Genomic DNA, 21,192 nt, shown 5'->3' on the forward strand with positions numbered 1-21,192 from the left:
TTCAGGTGGGGTTTCTTGGAGGTGTAGAAGTGAAACCTCACTACCTCTTTAATTTCCTCACTGGGCTCCTGTTTCCTGTCTCTAAAAGGAGACAGAAATTATGGCATTTTCCTACTTGATTGTTGGCGATAGTTGATTCATGACCACTGTGGCTGTAATCTTGGAGAAACGAGAGAAACTAGAATGGTCACGGCAGGGAGCATTTTCAGGTTTGCCTTTGTTTCTTTTTTTTTTTTTGGAGACAGTCTTGCTCTGTCGCCCAGGCTGGAGTGCAGTGGCGTGATCTTGGCTCACTGCAACCTCCACCTCCTGGGTTCAAGTGATTCTCCTACCTCAGCCTCCCGAGTAGCTGGGATTACAGGCACCTGCCACCACGGCTGGCTAATTTTTTGTGTTTTAGTAGAGATGGGGGTTTCACCATGTTGCCCAGGGTGGTCTCGAACTCCTGAGCTCAAGCAATCCTCCCGCCTAGGCCTCCCAAAGTGCTGGGATTACAGGTGTGAGCCACCATGCCTGGCCAAGTTTGCCTTTCTTGAAGTCAGTGGAGACGTGTTTTTGGAATCCTGTGGCATTTCTTCATGGCAATGCATATTACACTAAGTGATAAACCGCTCTAAAAGCCCTTCCCTTGTTGAAATCTTAAAAACATTCAGACAAGCTGGGGCTGCCTGGGTGTTGGTGGTGGTTTAGGAATAATGAGATTTCCAATAGATGACTGCTTTGTTATGTATTGGTAGACTCTTGGTGCATGGATTTCCCTCTGCCCGGGCTTTCCTCTTTTTTTTTTTTTTTTTTGAGATGGAGTCTCGCTGTGTTGCCCAGGTTGGAGTGCAGTAGTGTGATCTTGGCCCACTGCAACCTCTGCCTCCCAGGTTCAAGCGATTCTCCTGTCTCAGCCTCCTGAGTAGCTGGGATTACAGGCGGCATGCTGCCATGCCTGGCTAATTTTTTGTATTTTAGTAGAGACGGGGTTTCACTGTGTTGCCCAGGCTGGTCTTGAACTGAGCTCAGAAAATTCACCCACCTCGGTCTCCCAAAGTGCTGGGATTACAGGCGTGAGCCACCACTCCCGGCCCAGGCTTTCCTCTTACACTGGGACTGGGAAGGTGCTGTTTAGACTTTTTTATGTTGGGCAAGGCTGGAAGTCTTAGATTTGACAGGTGCTTTTCTTAAGTAAGTGTATCTGTGAGAGGTGGGGCTGGAGAGCAAGGCGGGATATTCATTTTGGGCACAGCCTCGAGGGCAAGAGGGAGGGTGTTAGAAGGAGAGTTTCTGGTTGTCTTTTTTTTTCCCTTCCACCCAAGTTCTGACTCTGGAGGTGGAGAGGCAGGCCCAGGCCGGAAGTGGGCGTGGACAAGTAATGCAACTGTGCATGTGACCAGGCTCCCACCTCTGGGCTCTGCTGCCCTTGGGAAGTGGATGCTTGCTCCCTCCTGACTTCCTGTTCTCCCTCCTTACAGGCTGAGTTCTTGGGCTCCAAGTTGAGCACAGAAAATACGTTCAAGGCCGGGCGCGGTGGCTCACGCCTGTAATCCCAGCACTTTGGGAGGCTGAGGCAGGCGGATCATTTGAGCCCAGGAGTTTGAGACCTGCCTGGCCAACATGGCGAAACCCCGTCCCTACTAAAAATGTAAAAACTAGCTAGGTGTGGTGGTGCACGCCTGTAATCCCAGGTACTCTGGAGGCTGAGGCAGGAGAATCACTTGAACCCAGGAGGCGGGGTTTGCAATGAGCTGAGATCATGCCACTGCACTCCAGCCTGGGCAACAGAGCGAGATTCCGTCTCAAAAAAAAAAAATAGAAAACATGTTCAAGTTACCCCTTTTCCTTGGTAAGCCGCTTTGTCAGAGCTGGAAGCCACCAGTGGACCTGTACTTGCCAGTTTTGGGGTCTCAACTAATACACCCACAAACTCAGAGGCCTATCTGGCAGGGCGGCCAAAAAGATGGTTTCTTGTTATATTATCACAGTGTTCCCCTCGGGAGCTTGTCTGCACCAAGAGCTGCCTGGAGGTGTGTATGGAACTTAAAGAATCCGACAGTAGATAGGTCCTTCAGGAAGAGTGTGTTCTTGAAGAATCGTTTGCAGTTACTTACAGCTTTTTGCTTTATAAAAGTACGGTGGGAGTCCCTGTGCCATAGAAACTTTAGAGCCAAAAAACTTTGGGCTTGATCCTGATTCTACCACTTGCTGGCATGTGACCTTAGAAAAATAGCCTAACTTCAAGTGGCCTACTCTTTCTGAGCCTCAGTTTCCTCAAAATTAAACTCAAATCCTCGTTTGTGGGCTGGTTTGTTTGTAAGCATACAGCAAGCGGCCAGACTGTTGTAGATGCCTAGTAAAGGTAGTTGTTAAAGAATCATATTTAGGAGCCGGGCACGGTGGCTCACACCTGTAAACCCAGCACTTTGGGAGGCTGAGGCGGGTGGATCGCCTGAGGTCAGGAGTTTGAGACCAGCCTGGCCAACATAGTGAAACCCTGTCTGTACTGAAAATACGAATTAGCTGGGTGGTGGGCGCCTCTAATCCCAGTTACTAGGGAGGTTGAGGTAGGAGAATCGCTTGAACCTGGAAGGCGGAGGTTGCAGTGAGCTGAGATCATGCCACTGCACTCCAGCCTGGGCAACAAAAGTGAAACTCCGTCTGAAAAAAAAATCATATTTAGGCTGACCGTTTCTCTTGAGGTTGGCACCTGAGGTTGGACAACAATCTGTGGATGTTAATACTGCCCAAGAACAAACCAGTTGACACTGGGCCAATAGGCTGAGCATGTCTGAAGGCCAGTGATCTGGAAGTTCCTAGTTTGGTTGATTTTTCCCAGTTGAGATCCCTTAGTTCATTGTAGCTTTAACCCCTACAGCCTCACCTTACTGTACTCTCCATATGGACTTGAAGTGCCTCAGGAAACATGATGGGGTAATTGGGAAAAAGGCTCAAACCTTGAGCTCAGGTGATCTGCCTGCCTTGGCCTCTTAAAGTGCTGGGATTTCAGGCATGAGCCACTGTGCGCGACCTGTTTGTTAGGTTTCTTTTTCTTTTCTTTCTTTCTTTCTTTTTTTTGAGACAGTCTCGCTATGTTGCCCAGGCTGGAGTGCAATGGTGCAGTCTCAGCTCATTGCAACCTCCACCTCCTGGGTTCAAGCCATTCTTCTGCGTCAGCCTCCCGAGTAGCTGGGATTACAGGCGCCTGCCACCATGCAGGGCTAATTTTTGTATTTTCGGTAGAGATGAGGTTTCACCATGTTGGCCAGGCTGGTCTCAAACTCCTGACCTCGTAATCTGCCCAACTCAGCATCCCAAAGTGTGGGATTACAGGCGTGAGCCACTGCTCCCAGCCGTTAGGTTTCTTAAGTGGCTAGGTGTTCTGAGAAGAGGCATAGCATGGGCACAGGCAGAGACCTGGAGTTGAAAACAGCCAAGTGAGTTCCCTTGACCTGAGGAGGTTATGCTCTTCTAAAAGTCAGAGTTTGAGCTGATCACATTGGCAAGAAAAGTCCAAAATTGCTTCCAAAGGTAGAAAGTTAAAATGTGCTATAGTAGGATCCAAGATTAAACTCAAAATAGTATTTAAATTGAGCTTTTATTTTTTTTGAGACGGAGTTTCGCTCTTGTTGCCCAGGCTGGAGTGCAATGGCGTGATCTCAGCTTACCGCAACCTCCGCCTCCTGGGTTCAAGCGATTCTCCTGCCTCAGCAGGAGAATGAGTAATGTGTAATGAGGCTAATTATATATTTTTAGTAGAGATGGGGTTTCTCCATGATGGTCAGGCTGGTCTCGAACTCCCGACCTCAGGCGATCTGCCTGCCTTAGCCTACCAAAGTGTTGGGATTACAGGCATGAGCCTCCGTACCGGGCCTTAAATTGAGCTTTCAATAAACATTTTCAATCAGGAAGCAATGATGGCCAGTGAAATCAGCCATCTAGACTCTGTAATGGTATACTGTATATGTAGACTTTAACCTCCAAAGGAGCTTCAAGAGAACAGACTTCAGGGCTGCTTCTGACCTTTTTCCTTTGAGAATTGTTATCATTTAAGCTGGTCTAAAATTCTTAATACATCAGAACAGTTTTTTGTTTTTTTTGAGACAGAGTCGCACTCCGTTGCCCAGGCTGGAGTACACTGGCATTACTGCAGCTTTGAACTCTTAGGCCCAAGCCATCCCCTTGCCTCAGCACCCAGATAACTAGGACTACAGGCGCATGCTATCATGCCAGGCTAATTTTATTTAGTTAGTTAGTTAGTTAATTAGTTGAGACAGAGTTTTGCTCTTGTTGCCCATGCTGGAGTGCAGTGGCGTGATCTCGGCTCACCACAACCTTCGCCTTCTGGGTTCAAGCAATTTTCCTGCCTCAGCTTCCTGAGTAGCTGGGATTACAGGCATGCGCCACCAGGCTCGGCTAATTTTGTATTTTTAGTAGAGATGGGGTTTCTCCATGTTGGTCAGGCTGGTCTCGAACTCCTGACCTCAGGTGATCTGGCTGCTGCAGCCTCCCAAAGTGCAGGGATTACAGGCGTGACCCACTGCTAACCGCCTTATTTATTTATTTATTTGAGATGGAGTCTCGCTCTTGTTGCCCAGGCTGGAGTGCAGTGGTGTGATCTCGGGTCACCGCAACCTCCGCCTCCCGGGTTCAAGCAATTCTCCTGCCTCAGCCTCCCGAGTAGCTGAGATTACAGGCATGCACTACCACGCCCAGCTAATTTTTGCATTTTTAGTAGAGACGGGGTTTCATGTTGGCCAGGCTGGTTTCCAACTCCTGACCTCAGGCGATCCGCTTGCCTCGGCCTCCCAAAGTGCTGGGATTACAGGCGTGAGCCACCATGCCCGGCCAGCTAATTTTATTTTTTAACTTTTGTCTCACTGTGTTGCCCAGGCTGGTCTCAAACTTCTGGGCTCAAGGACTTCTCCCACCTTGGCCTCCCAAAGTGCTGGGATTACAGGCATGAGACACTGTGCCCGGCCTAGAACAATTTAAACTTACTTTCGGCTGGGTGTGGTGGCTCACGCCTGTAATCCCAACATTTTGGGAGGCTGAGGTGGGTGGATCACCTGAGGTCAGGAGTTCACCAACATGGTGAAACCCCGTCTCTACTAAAATACAAAAATTAGGCCAGGCGTGGTGGCTCACGCCTGTAATCCCAGCACTTTGGGAGGCCAAGGCGGGTGGATAACCAGGTCAGGAGTTTAAGACCAGCCTGGCCAACATGGTGAAACCCTGTCTCTACTAAAACTACAAAAATTAGCTGGGCACAGTGGCGGGCGCCTGTAATCCCAGCTACTTGGGAGGCTGAGGCAGGAGAATCGCTTGAACCCGGGCAGCAGGGGTTGCGGTGAGCTGAGATCACGCCACTGCCCTCCAGCCTGGGCGACAGAGTGAGACTCCGTCTCAAAAAAAAAGCAAAAAATTGCCAGGCATGGTGGCCCACGCCTGTAATCTCAGCTACTTGGGAGGCTCAAGCATGAGAATTGCTTGAACCTGAGAGGTGGAGGTTGCAGTGAGCCGAGATCATGCCACCACACTCCAGCCTGGATGACAGAGCCAGGCTCCATCTCAAACAAACAAACAAAAACCTACTTTTTTTTTTTTTTGAGACAGGGTCTCATTCTGTTGCCCACGCTGGAGCGCAGTGGCAGTAGTGACACAGCTCACTACAGCCTTGACCTCCCAGGCTCAAGCCTGCTAATTTTTGTATTCTTTTTTGTAGGGACGGGGTTTTGCCATGTTGCCCAGGCTGGTCTGGAACTCCTGGGCTCAAGTGATCTGCCCGCCTGGGTCTCCCAAAGTGCTGAGCTTACAGGTGTGAGCCACCTCGCCCAGCCAATTTTTAAACTTTCACTGCATTTTCAAACTTTAGCCTTTATATTTAACCTCTCAAATTGTCTCTATTGAAGGTTACCTTTTTGACCTAAATTTGAAATAAATATCTTAGTCTTCCCAAAACAGGAGTTAGTTAGATATAGACCTGATTACGTGGGCATGTGAGAGGGCATGGTTGTTATTATCAAGCTGTGAAAGAGAGAACAAACTAGAAGGGCACTCCACCTGTGTTTTTTAAATAAATTACGGGCATTTCACTATAAATGGGGGGTTTGGGGAGTATACATCCTGTTAGGAAAACATTTGGGAGGAATGTTTTCCTAAGTTGGCAGATCTGCCATTTAACAAATGGGGAGTAGGGTGTGAAATAGATGCCAAGTTTTAAAAATACGTTTTTCTGCATGTCCAACTAAGGATATTTATTAGACCGATCATGTGACTAACACTCCTTCCCTGCTTGGGGGGTTTGAATAGGCTGATTTCCAGACTCGAGGCTGTCATATAGCCTTTTTGTTTTTCCTGGTAGTTTTCTGATTTTTTTTTTTTAATCTTTAATTCATAGAAAACAGTTTACTTCCATCCAAATTAGGTGGGAATTTTTTTAAACCATATGTAGACACAAAAGAGATATTCCTTGCCAACTAGTGACACATGGCAGATGAAGACAGAGTGGGAGATACACTTCCGGTTCACAACAGCACTTCTGAGCAGTTTGTGCTTAACCCTTTAGGGGAGCATTTGTGCTCAGAACCCTGGAATAGCAGGACAGTGCCAGGGCCACACAGAGACTCAGTCTGGAAAGAGCCTGCCTAACTGCAGATGGAGCCTGAACCCTGCGCTGCAGAAACACTGAGTGTAACGAATTGTGGTTAGAGACGACATTCAAAACAAACACACGTTGACAAAGTGGACCATCCCTAGAGAGCTGTTTTTCAGGGAGCTTTTCAGCATAAACGATGGTGATGGGGACAACGGGGGCTACTGACCCATGTCCCACAAACTCTTGATCTAGTGTGAGAATGTTGTGAATGCAAAGATGATTCTTGTAGCAGTGGTGATACATTGGAAGTACTGTATTTTTCATAAAGCATCACTGTAAGAGTCCCTGTAGCTATTTTCTGGTCCCTCCCTGAAGAAAGAATCAGGAGTATCAAAGTATTAAGGAAATCAAAATCACTTAATAATTAATCTTTTCTTTTCTTTTCTTTTCCTTTCCCAGCCAATTGCATTGTAATCTCACCATGTAAACATGGATTTGGGGTGAAATAAGAAACTTTAAAATGATCCTCCCTTAGAGATTGTTGTTATATTGTCCCTAAACTTAATGAAAACAATTTTAAACTTTAGAGTACTAAGAATGCAAAGTACAGAAAGTAGGGCCCGATGTGGTGGCTCCTGCCTGTAATCCCAGCACTTTGGGAGGCAGAGGATTGCTTGAGGCTAGGAGTTTGAGACCAACCTGGCTAACATGGCGAAACCCTGTCTCTACTAAAAATACAAAAATTAGCTGGTGTGGTAGCACGCACCTGTCGTGTCAGCTAGTCCAGAGGCTGCGGCACAAGAATCGCTTGACGCCAGAAGGTGGAGGTTGGAGTGAGCCAAGATGATGCCACTGCACTCCAGCCTAGGGCAACGAGCGAGACTCTGTCTCAAAAAAAAAAAAAAAAAAAAAAGTAGTCAGTGTTCGTTTTTCATAAAGGTGATTAAAAGAAAAAAAACTTGGCTTTTTTTTTTTTTTTTTTTGAGAAGGAGTCTCCTTCTGTCGCACAGGCTGGAGTGCAGTGGCATGTTCTTGGCTCACTGCAAGCTCCGCCTCCCGGGTTCACGCCAATCTCCTGCCTCAGCCTCCCGAGTAGCTGGGACTACAGGCGCGTGCCACCATGCACAGCTAATTTTTTGTATTTTTAGTAGAGACAGGGTTTCACCGTGTTAGCCAGGATGGTCTCGATCTCCTGATCTCGTGATCCACCCTCCTTGGCCTCCCAAAGTGCTGGGATTACAGGTGCGAGCCACTGCGCCCGGCTGATTCTTCAGTCTTTCTTATGAATACATTTTCTGCATTGAAATCATTTTGTGTCTTTCAGTGGCACCAGCCTGTCAGCTTCGGGAGTATGTGCCTGTAGGCTTCTTGGGCTCCAAAATCCTTGGGAGGAGTGGTCTCTCAGTTGTCGATCAGTGTTTATCACATAAGTCATCTTGTATGTTGTCCACCAAGAACTTCAAATAAATTTTCTGATTGAAAAAGTACCAAAAAAAAGGAAAAGAAAAAGGACAGTACCTTGAACATTCAGTAGGTGATGCTACTCTTTTTCAGTAGTTTCATACTAGTTTGGAGCCTTTGGCCAATTTCTGCCATAAAAGCAGACATAAACATGGAATTTGGCCCCAATTTCTTCTCAGTCCCTCAGTTGTATAGGGACAGGCTCAGGTGGTGTTTAGAAGTTTAAGAGTACACTCGAAAGACCATTAGTCTATTTTTGCTGTAGTTAAGGTAGAAGGAGGCCTAGCTATTATTAGTGGGGTTTGGTCTATGAAAGACAATAAAGTTTAAAATGAATTTGGAAGTTTTTTGTTATTGTTGTTGTTTTGAGACAGGGTTGCACTCTGTCACCTAGGCTAGAGTGCAGTGGCACAATCATGGTTCACTGCAGCCTCAAACTCCTGGGCTTGAGTGATCCTTCTGCCCCAGCCTCCTGAGTAGCTGGGGCTACAGGCATGTGCCACCAGGCTGGGCTAATTTTTTCTTTTTTATAGAGATGGGGTCTTACCATGTCGACCCGGCTGGTTTCAAATTCTTGGCCTCAAGCAATCCTCTCACCTTGGCCTCCCAAAGTGCTGGGATTACAGGTATGAGCCACTGTGCCCGGCCTGGAAGAAAATTTTAACTAAATAACAGGTGTTTTGAAAGTACAGTATTGGGCCGGGCACAGTGGCTCACGCCTGTAATCCCAGCACTTTGGGAGGCCGAGGCAGGTGGATCATGAGGTCAAGAGATTGAGACCATCCTGGCCAACATGGTGAAACCTTATCTCTACTAAAAATACAAAACAATTAGCTGGGCATGGTGGCGCATGCCTGTAGTCCCAGCTACTCAAGAGGCTGAGACAGGAGAATCTCTTGAGCCTGGGAGGTGGAGGTTGCAGTGATCCGAGATCGCGCCACTACACTCCAGCCTGGTGACAGAGCAAGACTCTGTCTCATTAAAAAAAAAAAGAAAAAAAGAAAGTACAGTATTAATTAACAACGGCTATCACTAAGGGTTTTTTTTTTTTGTTTTTGTTTTTTTGATTTTTTTTTTTTTTTGAGATGGATTCTGGCTCTGTCGGCCAGGCTGTAGCGTAATAGCGCGATCTTGGCTCACTGCAACCTCCGCCTCTTGGGTTCAGCGATTCTCCTGCCTCAGTCTTCTAAGTAGCTGGGATTACAGGCGTGCACCACCATGTCTGGCTAATTTTTGTATTTTTAGTAGAGATGAGGTTTCACTGTGTTGACCACGATGGTCTGGAACTCCTGACCTCAGGTGATCCACATGCCTCGGCCTCCCAAAGTTCTGGGATTACAGACGTGAGCCACTGTGCCCTGCCAGCACTAAGTATTGACTGTCTTTGTTTTCAGATCAGAGAGAAAACTTTTAGAAAACATGGTTCTAGCCCTAGTTGTTTCTTAATTAGAGTTTCTTCAGCTTTAGTATGGCATCTGAAGGTGATTGCATCATATTTCATAATCACCCAGCTGAACTATTTGCTGTTTAGTCCAGCACTGGGCACTGAGGCTAAAAGATCTTTAATCCAAACAGCCTCAGCATTCACCCAACCTGAGCCTATGGGACCCCAAGCAGATCTGGATTCACTGTCACTTACCATCTACCCATCTGACCCTGTCTTCCTATGACAGACAGAAATAAACCCTGTAGCTATTTCACCCCACCTACATACCCTGCACCCCTCCTACTCCCCGTCCGACTTTCCTGGCTGAGAAGTTGGCACTGCCCTCTGGAGCAGGCCCTGTCACCAGTGCACCCCTCACTCCACAGGGGTGTGTCATTAATGTGTTGCAGTTGATGCCTCCCTCTTAAAAAAAAAAAGGGGTGGTTGTCACCCTGGTGACTCACACAGGGCTTGCTGGCTCAAACTCTGGAATCTGTATATCTGTCTCAAGTGTCAGGTCTCCCACCTGACCACACTTTGCTCTGTTTGTAGTTAATTAAATTGACATTAATCAAGACCCAGGTGAGGAGCAGTGAGGTAATAGTTTGCTTGTATTGCTTTAATATACATCATCTGATTAATGATCGTAGCATGAAGCAGTTCTTAAAATATACAGCCACCATGTTAGGGTGAAAAACCTGGATGGTTGCCCTAAACCAACCTTGCGCTTGGGATCAGGGAGCTCTTTGAATTCCTATACCGAGTCACCTGTTTGAGAATAAGACTGTTTTGTTTGTTTGGTTTCTGAATTTGAACATTTGAATTTCTTTGTAGCAAAGCAAAGCAAATTGGTGACATAACTGGGTCAGGGAAAGTGATTGGGAGTCAACAGTTTGTATTTTGTATCATTTTTAGGTTGAATTCTCTTTTGGCCTAGGGGAGGTTGTGCCAGATGTTGCATTAAGTAGTGGGAAGATTTTGGGGGGCAGGGCGGTGTGTTTGGGGAGGTGTGAGGTGGCGGGGTGGAATAAACTACAAAAAGTTGACAATTGTATGTAGAACTCAACACAGAATTAGGAGCTTTTTTGAACTCTGTTTAAGGGGACATACAGCAGAAAAACAATTTTTTTTTTTTTTAGAAAAACAATTTTGTAAAATTTGTTCTACATGAAGTGTTTTTCAGGTTTGCGGTTGAGACCCAATTATTCTTGGGCGTTACATTGATTTTCTTTTCAAATGAAGTAGAATAGAAATAACAGTACAGGCTGGGTGCAGTGGCTTATGCCTGTAATCCCAGCATTTTGGGAGGCCGATGCGAACAGATCACGACATCAGGAGATGGAGACCATCCTGGCCAAGATGGTGAAACCCCGTCTCTACTAAAATACAAAAAAAAAATTGCCGGGTGTGATGGAACGCGCCTGTAATCCCAGCTACTGGGGAGGCTGAGGCAGGGGAATCCGTGAACCTGGGAAGTGGAGGTTGCAGTGAGCCGAGATAGCGCCACTGCACCACTCCAGCCTGGCGACAGAGCAAGACTCTGTCTCCAAAAAAAAGAAAAAAGAAAACAGTACGTTGCATGTGGTAAATTTATGTTTGGTGAAACTTTTGTTTCAGTTGTACATATAGATTTATTAGGGTATGCGATAAAGCATGTCACCACCACTCTTCAGGAGTCTAGGTGTCTCATCAGGAATCGTTTGTTTTAAAACAACATGAAAAGAGGCGGTTTTGGGGATTCCTCAGAACCTGATTTTGGTATTGAGAGCCTTCTTGTGGTAGATTTTCCATGAACTTGATATTTTCCCTATTGAAATTGTATTTCGCTTTATGTAGTTTAACATCTCCAAAGTCCATTCTCTTTCAGGCTTTCATTCTGTCTCCTGTGTTTCCTCCTTGTTACTGGAGAGGGAGGGGTGCAGATTTGCTTTCTTGAGGGGTTTTCACCTTCTCCCTGAGGCACGAGGGCAGATTGGGAGGTAACTGGAGAGGGAGAGCAGTCGTCCCCAAGTGTCTTGAGGTGGGTGGGTCTGGAGCTTTCTTTGTAGAATTCTGTTCACTGCACTGGAGAAGTGATCGTTCAGCCGATCCACACCCCGCCCTCCCCACAGACACCGGGGCCGAAGTTCCCAGAGAAGAGCTTCCGCGTGACGACCCCGCGGGGGTGACATTCTAACCCGCGTTTCAGAGGCAACCCTGAGTTGCTTGAGGTCGCCCAGCTCAGCTGGCGCGAGGTCAGCAGTGAGCGCGTCGTGAGTCAGCCTTGGGTGCGGCCCGCCCGGCTTTGCCGCCGGTGAGTTGGCCACGACCCTTCGGCCTGCGGAGGGCGCTGGGACTCGGCGGGGAGGGAGCCAGCCGGAGCCCGCGTGGGAAACCAGCGCGCCCAACGAGGTGTCGCGTGGGAGCGCGCCGGAGAGGGGCGGTGCTTCCGGGGCGGTACCGTCCGGCCCCGCCCCCTCAACTCAGGGGCCCGCCTTCTACGCCTGGAACCCCGCCCACGAGCTCCTCCCTTCTCGTCAGGCCCCGCCCCTCGGTCGCCACGCCCCGCCCAGCCGGGCGCGGGCGGGCGGCGTCGCCTTTAAGAGCTCCCCGGTGTTTTGGGGGCCGCGGGCCGGGCGCGCTGACCTGGTGCGCATGTCCCGGGCGGTGACGCCGGCGCCGGGCTCCATGTGTGCGGCCGAGGGGCGCATTATCTGGCCGGCGGCGCGGGCGGGCGGGCGGACCGGCGCAGCGAGCGCCGCGGGCCCGGGCGGCCCCACAGGCGGAACGAGCGCGCGCGGCCCGGCGTCCCCGGCCCCTCCGCCGCCCGGCCCCGCGGGCGACCCCGGACCAGCAGCCCCCGTAACCTGCGCGCTGCCCTAGGGCCCGGCCGACCCGCGGCCCGGTAAGTTCTGGACCAAACTTGGCGGGGGGCGGGGGCTGGGGACGCACGGCTGAGACTGGAGCGGCGCGGGCCGCGCAGGGTCGGGGCCTCGGGGGGCTCTGAAGGACCCCTGCATGAGCGTGGAAAAGTGAGAGCGAGCGAGTTCTACTCCTTGTATTCTGGGAGCGTCTTCTTGCGCTGCCCTGGAAAGTTCCTTGCCCCGAGGCGGCCCGGGCACGTGGGGGCCGGGCGGGGGTCCCGGAAAGTCGCGGCGTCGCCCCGCTTCCGTCCTGCGCTTCCTGCGGGGTCGGGGGAAGGGCTGGGCCGCGAGGCGCCTCTTCCGAGTGGTCGGGACGGGTGGAGGCGGCGGGAAGACGGCACGTGGGCGCGCGGGGCGGGGGTCCCGCTCAGGGGCGGGGGTCCGGGGCGGGTTGGGCAGCAACGCTGAACCCCGCGGCGGCGGCGGCGGCGGCGGCGGCGGATCCCGTGTCAGAATAAGAGTCCCCGCGCGCCCACGCCTGGAGGGCCGGCCCTCCCCCAGCTCGCGCCCTTCCTGCCTAACCCCCGGGAGCCGCGGGACCCTTTCCCCTCTCTGATCTCCGGCCTTTCTCAAGGCCCGACACTTTAAATTTGCCTCCCCATCTAGGCGGTGGCTCCATTGATTTCTTTTTTCCCACCTAGAGTGGGTCGGCATCAGTGACTAGACAGCAGCAGCTGGCCTTTTAAAGGGATTATTGCCAAGAATCGGAATTGATCACTTCAACAAGGAAAGGCTTATGGGCAGGGCCCAGGCTGAGAGCCTGACGGACACTTGGATTGTGCGCACACTGGGACCCAGAAATGAATGGTGACCCCTCCCTTAGGAAGTGAATGACAACCCTTAGGTGCGTGTTTCTGCCCTGAGAATTTTGCACAGGGCAAAATTTTGTAGGTCTGACTTAACGTCTTTAGGTGTATAGTTCATCCTTATCTTAAGAGCTGTGGATTCTTTAGATCAAAGTCCGAGTGAGTCACTTGAGCCTTTAATTTTCTTTCTTCCTACCAGTTTACTTCTTTCAGTTTTCTTGGAGTACATAGTGCTGGTTACATCTCTGGTTCTGTGTGCCCATTCACACAGTGACACCTCCTGGCTGTGGCAGCACAGAAACTGAGAGCCCTCTGTGCGGGTGTCTCAGTCTTGGACTGTAGTCCTGTTGACTGACTTAACTCTTCTGGTAGTCGTTACAAGTTTTCTTTTAAACTAGATTACATGAAATAATGTTTGTTGGCACCAGTTTGTTAACATATGCTAAGCAGTAGTTTGTCAGACCTGACCACAAGCTGTGGAGGGCTGATAGCTCATACTAGCCCTCGGGTTTGAGTGCCTACTGTGTGCTAAGCTCCCCTGCACAGACATATTCAGTGCCTATAACAATCCCGTGGGGAGTAGGGAAGTATTATCTGCGCTTTACAGGTCAGGAAATTGGGGCTGCTGGAGGCCAGGCGGCTTGCTCAAGGCCTCTTAGTAGTGAGGCAGAGCCAGGCAGCCCGTACTTGGTGCTCTAGAGCCCACAAATGCTGCAGTTTGCGAACCCTAGTGAGCATTTCCCTGGCGCTTCTAAAATACAAGGCCATTTTCTTGTCCAGGATCCAGGGCACCTCTGTTTGCGGATGTAGGGGATAATCTGGTGACATGGGGACACCATGCTAGCCCTGCTTTGTTCTAGTGGAGCAGCGTTACCAGCTGGATTTTAAGGAACTGAACTACAGAGTTAGTTGCTACTTTGCATTCGCTTCTTCAGCTTTGGACTCAGAAAAGTTGGCCCTTTTCTAGAGGAAACAGTTTATAGGATGTGGGAAATTTGCAAGGGATTTTCTGTATCCTCTGTCTTCACTTATTCCCTCCCCTCCTTCATCTTTCAGTTCTTATTTGTCTCATAAAATTCCGAAGCTGGTTTTTATGAAGATTGCTTCTCATCTTGGAAGGGCTATAGAGAATGGAAAGATTTGGATGCAGTGTGTTTTGTTTGTTTGTTTGTTTTTTTGAGACGGAGTCTCGCTCTGTCATCCAGTCTGGAGTGGCACGATCTTGGTTCACTGCAACTTCCGCCTCTCAGGTTCAAGCAATTCTCCTGCCTCAGCCTCCCGAGTAGTTGGGACTACCATGCCCGGCTAAGTTTTGTATTTTTAGTAGAGACGGGGTTTCACCATGCTGGCCAGGCTGGTCTCGAACTCCTGACCTCGTGATCTGCCCACCTCAGCCTCCCAAAGTGCTGGGATTACAGGCGTGAGCCACCACGCCTGGCGGATGCATTGTTATTTCCACTCAGATGACATCATTTTTTAAAATGTCAAGTCATCTCTATTAATGCAGTATCATTTGGCAAATCCTATAATCTTATATTTTGATAGTGAGGGAAAAATATAATGCTACTTTCGGTAGGAAAAAATCCTGGAAGGATTTGTACCAGAATGTCAATAAAGGTCTCTACATTAGGATTAGCAATAGTTTTTCTTTTTTAGAAAACTTTTTAGTGTCTCTGTATTTTGCGTGTGTGTGTATGTTTTTAATGAGGAAACATGTTTTAAATACTCTAATTTTCAACTCTTCAGTAGCTCCTCTGACTTGTTTTGCATCATTTATTTTCTGAATTTCTGGCATTGCAGGTAGTGATTTCTAGATTGATATATTCAACAAATATCAGAGTGCATACTGTGCCTTCGACACTGCGAGGAATCCCTCCTCAGTAGAGTTTATAGTGAGATTAGTGGGCCAGGAGTCGTAATTAATCTTATAAACATGGGGAAACTTACAGGGATCAAGGAGAGAAGGACACTGTGACCTGGTGAGCCCGAAAGGACCTTTCTCCTACTGGGGTCAGAGAACAAGAAGGGGGACCCTCTTGAAGGGGATTAAGGCAAGGGCTGGTGCAGTGAGGCTCACAGCCGGGACCTCTTTGGGTCTTAGCAGATGACTAAAGGATGCCTCTGAAGAATGTGGCTGGTAAAGTTGTAAAGCCATTCTTGAAATGTTGGCTTTTTTTTTTTTTTTTTTTGGTGTTTGTTCTCTTGGAAGAAAATTAAGAATGACCAGCAGAGTTTTGGATATATGAATTCCCAACAGAGACAAAAATGTAATGGCCCTTACCACTGAATTTGTTTAAGGACCATCATTAGCATGTACTGACACCTCAAAGCCTGGGCAGCTCAGATGCTTTTCTGGAGAACTACCTGCTTGGACTCGGGGTGTTTCTGTGCCATCAAATGGAACAGGCAGGGCTATTTTCTCTAGACCTTTCCCCCCCATAATTGAGTTAATTTATGCTGGTTGTAGAAAACTAGGAAGATTATGAAATAGGTGAGTGGGTGAAGTCTTCTCGAGCAGCTGTCCTGGGGTAATAGAGCATCCCTGGGATTTCCTCCTAACCCTTGTCTGGTTGGGAAGTGTGGCAGAACCAGAAGAACAAGTTGGCAATGTCATAGTTTGAGGCATACAGAACTATGCTGCCTGCTAAGTGTGGTCGTTTGTTAGAATGGATGCTTTTGAGTTATCTGAGCTGCTTCGGGAGGTAGCTTTCCACAGTCTGGCCTCAGACTGTGGGTCTTCCAGGTTAACAGGACTTAAGTGCTAACTGTGCAAAGGTATGTCTTTGAATGGAATTAGGAAGGCAGTGTATTAAAAATAAGAAGGTTGAGATAAAAAAAGACGGATCTTGAAGTGGTTGGTGGTTGCAGCGAGGTGGAAATAGTGAGACCCGTACTGTCAGAAACAAAGGTACCACTGGGGACAGATCCCGCTCGAGCATGGGTTCCCCAGCATCCCCGCAAACAGGATCTGGGACTTTTTTGTCAAGAGAGTGTCAGACCGTTGGCTTCTTGCCCCTCCCCCACCTTGTGCTTTCCAGACTATATTTGTGACCTCTTTTTGTCTGATGGAAATGTAGGTTAGTCTTTTAGAAGACAAAGGAATTTACCCTAATAGAATACCTTTAGGTAGCCTCAGGAAGTGATTGGGAATCCACGAAACCCTCTAGGTGTGGGAGAGAGGGGCCCTCAGTGAGAATGTCACACGTTTGCACCAGTTTGCACAGTTGCCAGGGCCCCTTGCAGCTCCTCTGTACGCTGTACCCCCTTTGTCTCTCCTCAGCCTCCAGAGGCACCTTCACAGGTGAGTTTGTCAGGGAACTTGCCTTTCTGTCTGATTCCTGATTTTAGGGTTCCTTATATGGAAGGGCTGAAGACCTGCAATTTCCGAGGATGCTGGAGGCTAGCTTCTGAGATAGGATTTGCTGGCAGGAGATGAGCAGTACTCTAAAGGAGGGCTCCCAGCAAGTCAAAGTGGGAGTTCTTGGGGCAGGGGGTGGGGGATGGGGGTGGTGGGTGGAGTGGTCAAGGCTTCAGGGCTTTCCTGCTGCTTGGCCTCAAAGATAGTAGCTATGCCTGTGGGGAGGGGTGTGGCCATGTGGTACAGGATTGGGGAGAAATTCCACTTGTTTGAAGGATTTGTTGAAGAATCCCTCAGCTATTCCTCCTGCAGTTCCGTCTCAGGACCTGGCGCTGCGTGGCCTGCCTTGCCGGTTAGATATTCTGGTTTGAACCTTGAAACGTAGCCTAAATAAGGTGGTGCCTTCGAGCACACACTTTAAAAATACTGCTGCATTATGGTGGCACAGCAGCTCCTCCTGTGCCAAGGAGGCCACTTTGAGTCTAGGGGGCACCTGCTTTTTGCCAAGTGTGGCCGTGTGCCTATTGCTGAGCAGCCTGTCTCTAGTGGCATCCAGGACAGCCCTGGCTTTGCCTCAAGACAGCCTGGTGTGAGCTCTGCCCAGCCACTTCCTAGCGAAAGACCTTGTTGAACATCACCCCTGTTTCCCATTTCTGTCAAGGGGGTACTTACTATCTCCCGTGGAAGGCTGTGTTGGGAGTGAGATAACAAGTGCAAATGATCGACCCCAGTGCCTGTGTGTTCCACATGTTGCAGTTCAGTGAGTACTGTTATGACTGTAACAGATGAGCCAGAGTTCACAAGCATTAACAACTGCCCCACCTCTTCTGTGGGGGATGACACCACCCTCATGGCAAACTGTCACTGTCTGCATGCCCCCTTTGGAGCCACACTGGGGCGCATGCCTCAGCTTTGTGCCCCAGCCTATTCCCCTCTCTCCATGTTCCTGTGAAGAAGGCAAAGTTCCCCACAGGAGGTGATACTTGCCATAGTCACCTTGCTCATTATTCGGCGGCTGGGACCCAACCCAGCCTTTCTGATTTCAGACGTTGTCTATTTTTTCCACTGCCTTGGGGCCTTCTTGACGATACTGAATGCCTGGGTTGGTTGTGCCCCAAGCCAGGAGGCAGCCTCTTTCCTGGCCCAGGGCTTGTGGAAGCCAGCATCCGGACTTCCATCTGTGAGATGGGAAGCTGTTTGCCGGGCAGATCTGTCATGGGAGCCTTCCTTAGAGAACTGAGAGGGGTCCCTGTCACTGAGTGGACTCTGGGTGGAGGCTGGAAGTAGGTGGTTTGATGGTACTTGCAGTGGTGTCTGGGAGCGCCAGGGTGAATCTCATCCTCCTGGACTTGCCTTTCAGACTGACAGCTCTCCAGCCAGCTTGGAGTTGGACAGATCTGGCTTTGTCACTGACGATATGCAGTTTACCACTCTTCAGCGTTGGGTGGGTCACCTGATCACCTGGCCTCAGCTTTCTCTTATGTTGGCGGAGACAGCATCTTTGACCTAACAGGATGCTGTGAGGACAAGTGGAAAGTGTCTACAGGCAGTCAGGGGTATTCCAGCCTTTGCCTCTCCATTTACCTCAGAGCCAAAAAGCTTTCTCCCCCCAGATGTCAACTACACAGTGATTCTTGAACACCTCATATCTCAGTTATCACATATAATGTAACACTCAGATTGAGGAGCTTGGTTTTCTTTATAACAGAATCCTACTGCAAGCTAACAATTTGGAGGCCTAAGAGTCAGGTCAAGGCCGGGCGCGGCAGCTCACGTCTGTAATCCTAGCACTTTGGGAGCCTAAGGCAGGCTGATTGTTTGAGCCCAGTAGTTCGAGACCCGCCTGGGCAATGTAGCAATCCCCCATCTCTCTCTCTCTCTCTCTCTTTTTTTTTTGGTGGGCTGTCTCAGGCCGCTTTTTTTTCTCTCTCTTTTTTTTTAATTTTTAATTTTTTTTTTAATTTTTTTGTTGAGACGGAGTCTTGCTCTGTCAGCCAGGCTGGAGTGCAGTGACGCGATCTCAGCTCACTGCAAGCTCCGCCTCCGGGGTTCATGCCATTCTCCTGCCTCAGCCTCCCAAGTAGCTGGGACTACAGGTGCCCGCCACCACACCCGGCTAATTTTTTGTATATTTAGTAGAGACGGGGTTTCACCATGTTGGCCAGGATGGTCTTGATTTCTTGACCTTGTGATCCACCTGCCTCGGCCTCCCAAAGTGCTGGCATTACAGGCGTGAGCCACCGTGCCCGGCCGATTCCCCATCTCTTAAAAAAAAAAAAATTAGCCAGGTGTGGTGGCATGCATCTGTAGGCCCTGCTACTTGCGAGGCTGAGATGGGAGGATCGGTTGAGCCTGGGAGGTTGAAGCTGCAGTGAGAGGAGATCATGCCATTGCACTCCAGCCTGGGCGACAGAGTGAGACTCTGTCTGCGGGGGGGATAAAAAAGGTCTGATCAGATTATCTGGAAGGGATGTGAAAAACCCTGTGGCCCTAACTCTACAAATAATACCAACTTAACATTTTCTCCAGTCACAGCCATTCTGTGCAATTAACCTTTGAGTCAGTGGCTGTGAATCTATACTCAACACATTCTTACCTTAGAGACGGCTGCTTGCCCTGACCTCGGAGGTGGGCAGGTTTTAGGCCAGTAAAGTAGGCCTCCAATTTACGATGGATTGACTTAAAATTTTTCAACTTTATGTTGGGTTTATCAGAGGTAACCCCATTGTAAGTCGAGGAGCTCCCTTTGATTTGTAACAGTTTCTCCTGAACACAGATCCCTTTCGTACCATGGTAAAGTTGAGAAATTTTAAGTCGAATAATTGTAAAATGGGACCAGTGGCTGTGTTAAATGCATTTGATATTTTCTACTCCCAGTGGGGCTGCATTCTAATAAACCCATCATAAGTTGAGGAGCATCTGTCTTCTTGTTGCTGGGGTTTCAAGTTGGTGGAATTTGGTGGTAGTGACAGCAGATTTTTAGTTCTCTTGTGTGTTTAGCACAGGCTCACTCTGCCAGCAAGTTTTGAAAACTGCTGCTACCACCTTCGTTCACATCCGCAGAGGAACATTTTTCCTTGTTGCTCAAGTGTGGCTGGAGAAAGTAGGAGAGTGGTGAACTGAATTCTTGGTTTGAAGGCATCGATTGAATTGGTTCCGTCACTCTCGAGACCTGTGCTGTTCTCAGGACTTGCGTATCATTGACGGAACACCTGAACTTCATTTTCTGTCTTCTCATGTAGTGTCCCTGGGTTTGCCGAGGGTTCATGCCCACCCCGTTCAGTGGTGGTTCTTTCAGAGGATTCTGTAGTCAGCTCCTTTCCTAGGGTTCTCTTATAGCCACTCTAACCCAGGGAGAGTTTGCTGGTGTGTTTGGTGTTTTTGTTTTTGTTTTTTTGAGATGGAGTCTCACTCTGTCGCTCAGGCTGGAGTGCAGTGGCGCAATCTCGGCTCACTGCTTGAACCTCCGCCTCCTGGGTTCAAGCGATTCTCCTGCCTCAGCCTCCCGAGTAGTTAGGATTACAGACACCCATAACTTTGCCTGGCTAATTTTTGTATTTTTAGTAGAGATGGGGTTTCGTCATGTTGGTCAGGCTGGTCTCGAACTCCTGACCTCAGATGATCCACCCACCTTGGCCTCCCAAAGTACTGGGATTACAGGTGTAAACCACCGTGCCTGGCTGTGTTTGATGTTTTTATTAATACGTTCGTTTGATGAACTGACCTCGGTAGTTTGTATGTGGGCCATCTGTCTCCTGCCTCCCTTCCCCAAACTTTTGGTCAAGTTTTTAGTGTTGAGTCTTTTTGTTGTTGTCTCTTTTCTGACTGTACAAGCAACATTTCCTGATGCCGAAGTCTGGGGAGGGGGTGGGAGCCTCAGATGTTGGTGGTAGGAGTTGCCTGGTCTGCTTTTGAAGTTTTCTTGGGCAAGTATATTAACATATACTGAGTATAGGTTCAAATGTAATTGCAGTCTTATTGTTAGTTTGTATCTGTCAGGTTATAGGATTAGAAATATAACTATTTTTGGGAGTTGGGTAGCAGACAAACTGAGGATTCTACCTGGGACTTTCTTCTGTGTACTGTGCTCTGCTGAACCCAACACTGGGCACAAACAGGAAACTGAGGCTCAAGCGGAGGAGGAGTGGCCTGCCCAAGGTTGACTTGCAGAAGGAATGAGGATATATCCCTGTTTTCTCCTGGAATTAGACTTTCAGATCTCTGTTGTTCTTACTGATGTCTTTGTGGCTTGGTGAATTTTGTTTTAGCTTCCTTCTTACTTTATTTATGTAGGTCCATTGGTCAGTTTCCTTCCTCAGGGCCTTGTCTTTTTTTTTTTTTTTTTTTTTTTTTGAAACAGAGTCTTGCTCCATTGTCCAGTCTGGAGGGCAGTGGTGCAATCTCGGCTCACTGCAACCTCTGCATCACGGTTCAAGCGATTCTTGTGCCTCATCCTCCCAAGTAGCTGGGATTACAGGCGCACGCCACCACGCCCAGCTCTTTTTTTTTTTTTGTAGAGATGGGGTTTTACCATGTTGGCCAAGCTGGTCTTGAACTCCTGGCCTCAAGTGATTTGCCCACCTTGGCCTCCCAAAGTGCTAGGATTACAGGTGTGAGCCACCACACCCTGCCCCCTTTTTTTTTTTTTTTTTTTTTTT

At 48.8% G+C, this 21,192-nt stretch overlaps 1 protein-coding gene across 38 annotated transcripts in view, besides 10 other annotated features; it reads left to right on the top strand.

The window, feature by feature from the left end:
* The window catches only part of GATAD2A (GATA zinc finger domain containing 2A), a 123,090-nt gene that overhangs the window by 7,826 nt on the left and 94,072 nt on the right, over window positions 1-21,192 (top strand). For 10 of the 38 annotated variants that reach the window (NM_001384526.1, XM_047439002.1, XM_047439006.1 and 7 more), the window contains exon 1: window positions 12,007-12,351. The exons of the other annotated variants lie outside the window; for them this stretch is intronic. The gene's annotated coding sequence lies outside the window, so the exon portion shown is untranslated. Of the gene's footprint in view, window positions 1-12,006; window positions 12,352-21,192 lie in introns of those variants that run through there. 38 annotated transcript variants of the gene reach the window in all.
* Window positions 1,210-1,299: an enhancer, noted in NCBI's record as "active region_14350". NCBI's record gives its function as "activates an Ori minimal core promoter by ATAC-STARR-seq in GM12878 lymphoblastoid cells {active_cell/tissue: GM12878}" and the evidence as "EXISTENCE:reporter gene assay evidence [ECO:0000049][PMID:35858748]".
* Window positions 1,321-2,174: an enhancer, noted in NCBI's record as "H3K27ac-H3K4me1 hESC enhancer chr19:19505798-19506651 (GRCh37/hg19 assembly coordinates)". NCBI's record gives its function as "activates a minimal SCP1, AML or CMV promoter by ChIP-STARR-seq in naive H9 embryonic stem cells {active_cell/tissue: H9 hESC(naive)}" and the evidence as "EXISTENCE:reporter gene assay evidence [ECO:0000049][PMID:30033119]".
* Window positions 11,163-12,071: an enhancer, noted in NCBI's record as "H3K27ac-H3K4me1 hESC enhancer chr19:19515640-19516548 (GRCh37/hg19 assembly coordinates)". NCBI's record gives its function as "activates a minimal SCP1, AML or CMV promoter by ChIP-STARR-seq in primed H9 embryonic stem cells {active_cell/tissue: H9 hESC(primed)}" and the evidence as "EXISTENCE:reporter gene assay evidence [ECO:0000049][PMID:30033119]".
* Window positions 11,163-12,978: a biological region, named in NCBI's record as "H3K27ac-H3K4me1 hESC enhancers GRCh37_chr19:19515640-19516548 and GRCh37_chr19:19516549-19517455".
* Window positions 11,509-11,568: an enhancer, noted in NCBI's record as "active region_14351". NCBI's record gives its function as "activates an Ori minimal core promoter by ATAC-STARR-seq in GM12878 lymphoblastoid cells {active_cell/tissue: GM12878}" and the evidence as "EXISTENCE:reporter gene assay evidence [ECO:0000049][PMID:35858748]".
* Window positions 11,689-12,238: a silencer, noted in NCBI's record as "silent region_10441". NCBI's record gives its function as "represses an Ori minimal core promoter by ATAC-STARR-seq in GM12878 lymphoblastoid cells {active_cell/tissue: GM12878}" and the evidence as "EXISTENCE:reporter gene assay evidence [ECO:0000049][PMID:35858748]".
* Window positions 12,072-12,978: an enhancer, noted in NCBI's record as "H3K27ac-H3K4me1 hESC enhancer chr19:19516549-19517455 (GRCh37/hg19 assembly coordinates)". NCBI's record gives its function as "activates a minimal SCP1, AML or CMV promoter by ChIP-STARR-seq in naive H9 embryonic stem cells {active_cell/tissue: H9 hESC(naive)}" and the evidence as "EXISTENCE:reporter gene assay evidence [ECO:0000049][PMID:30033119]".
* Window positions 12,799-12,878: a silencer, noted in NCBI's record as "silent region_10442". NCBI's record gives its function as "represses an Ori minimal core promoter by ATAC-STARR-seq in GM12878 lymphoblastoid cells {active_cell/tissue: GM12878}" and the evidence as "EXISTENCE:reporter gene assay evidence [ECO:0000049][PMID:35858748]".
* Window positions 17,127-17,236: an enhancer, noted in NCBI's record as "active region_14352". NCBI's record gives its function as "activates an Ori minimal core promoter by ATAC-STARR-seq in GM12878 lymphoblastoid cells {active_cell/tissue: GM12878}" and the evidence as "EXISTENCE:reporter gene assay evidence [ECO:0000049][PMID:35858748]".
* Window positions 17,347-17,436: a silencer, noted in NCBI's record as "silent region_10443". NCBI's record gives its function as "represses an Ori minimal core promoter by ATAC-STARR-seq in GM12878 lymphoblastoid cells {active_cell/tissue: GM12878}" and the evidence as "EXISTENCE:reporter gene assay evidence [ECO:0000049][PMID:35858748]".

This window comes from Homo sapiens, chromosome 19, assembly GCF_000001405.40.
Source record: "Homo sapiens chromosome 19, GRCh38.p14 Primary Assembly".
NCBI lineage: Eukaryota > Metazoa > Chordata > Mammalia > Primates > Hominidae > Homo > Homo sapiens.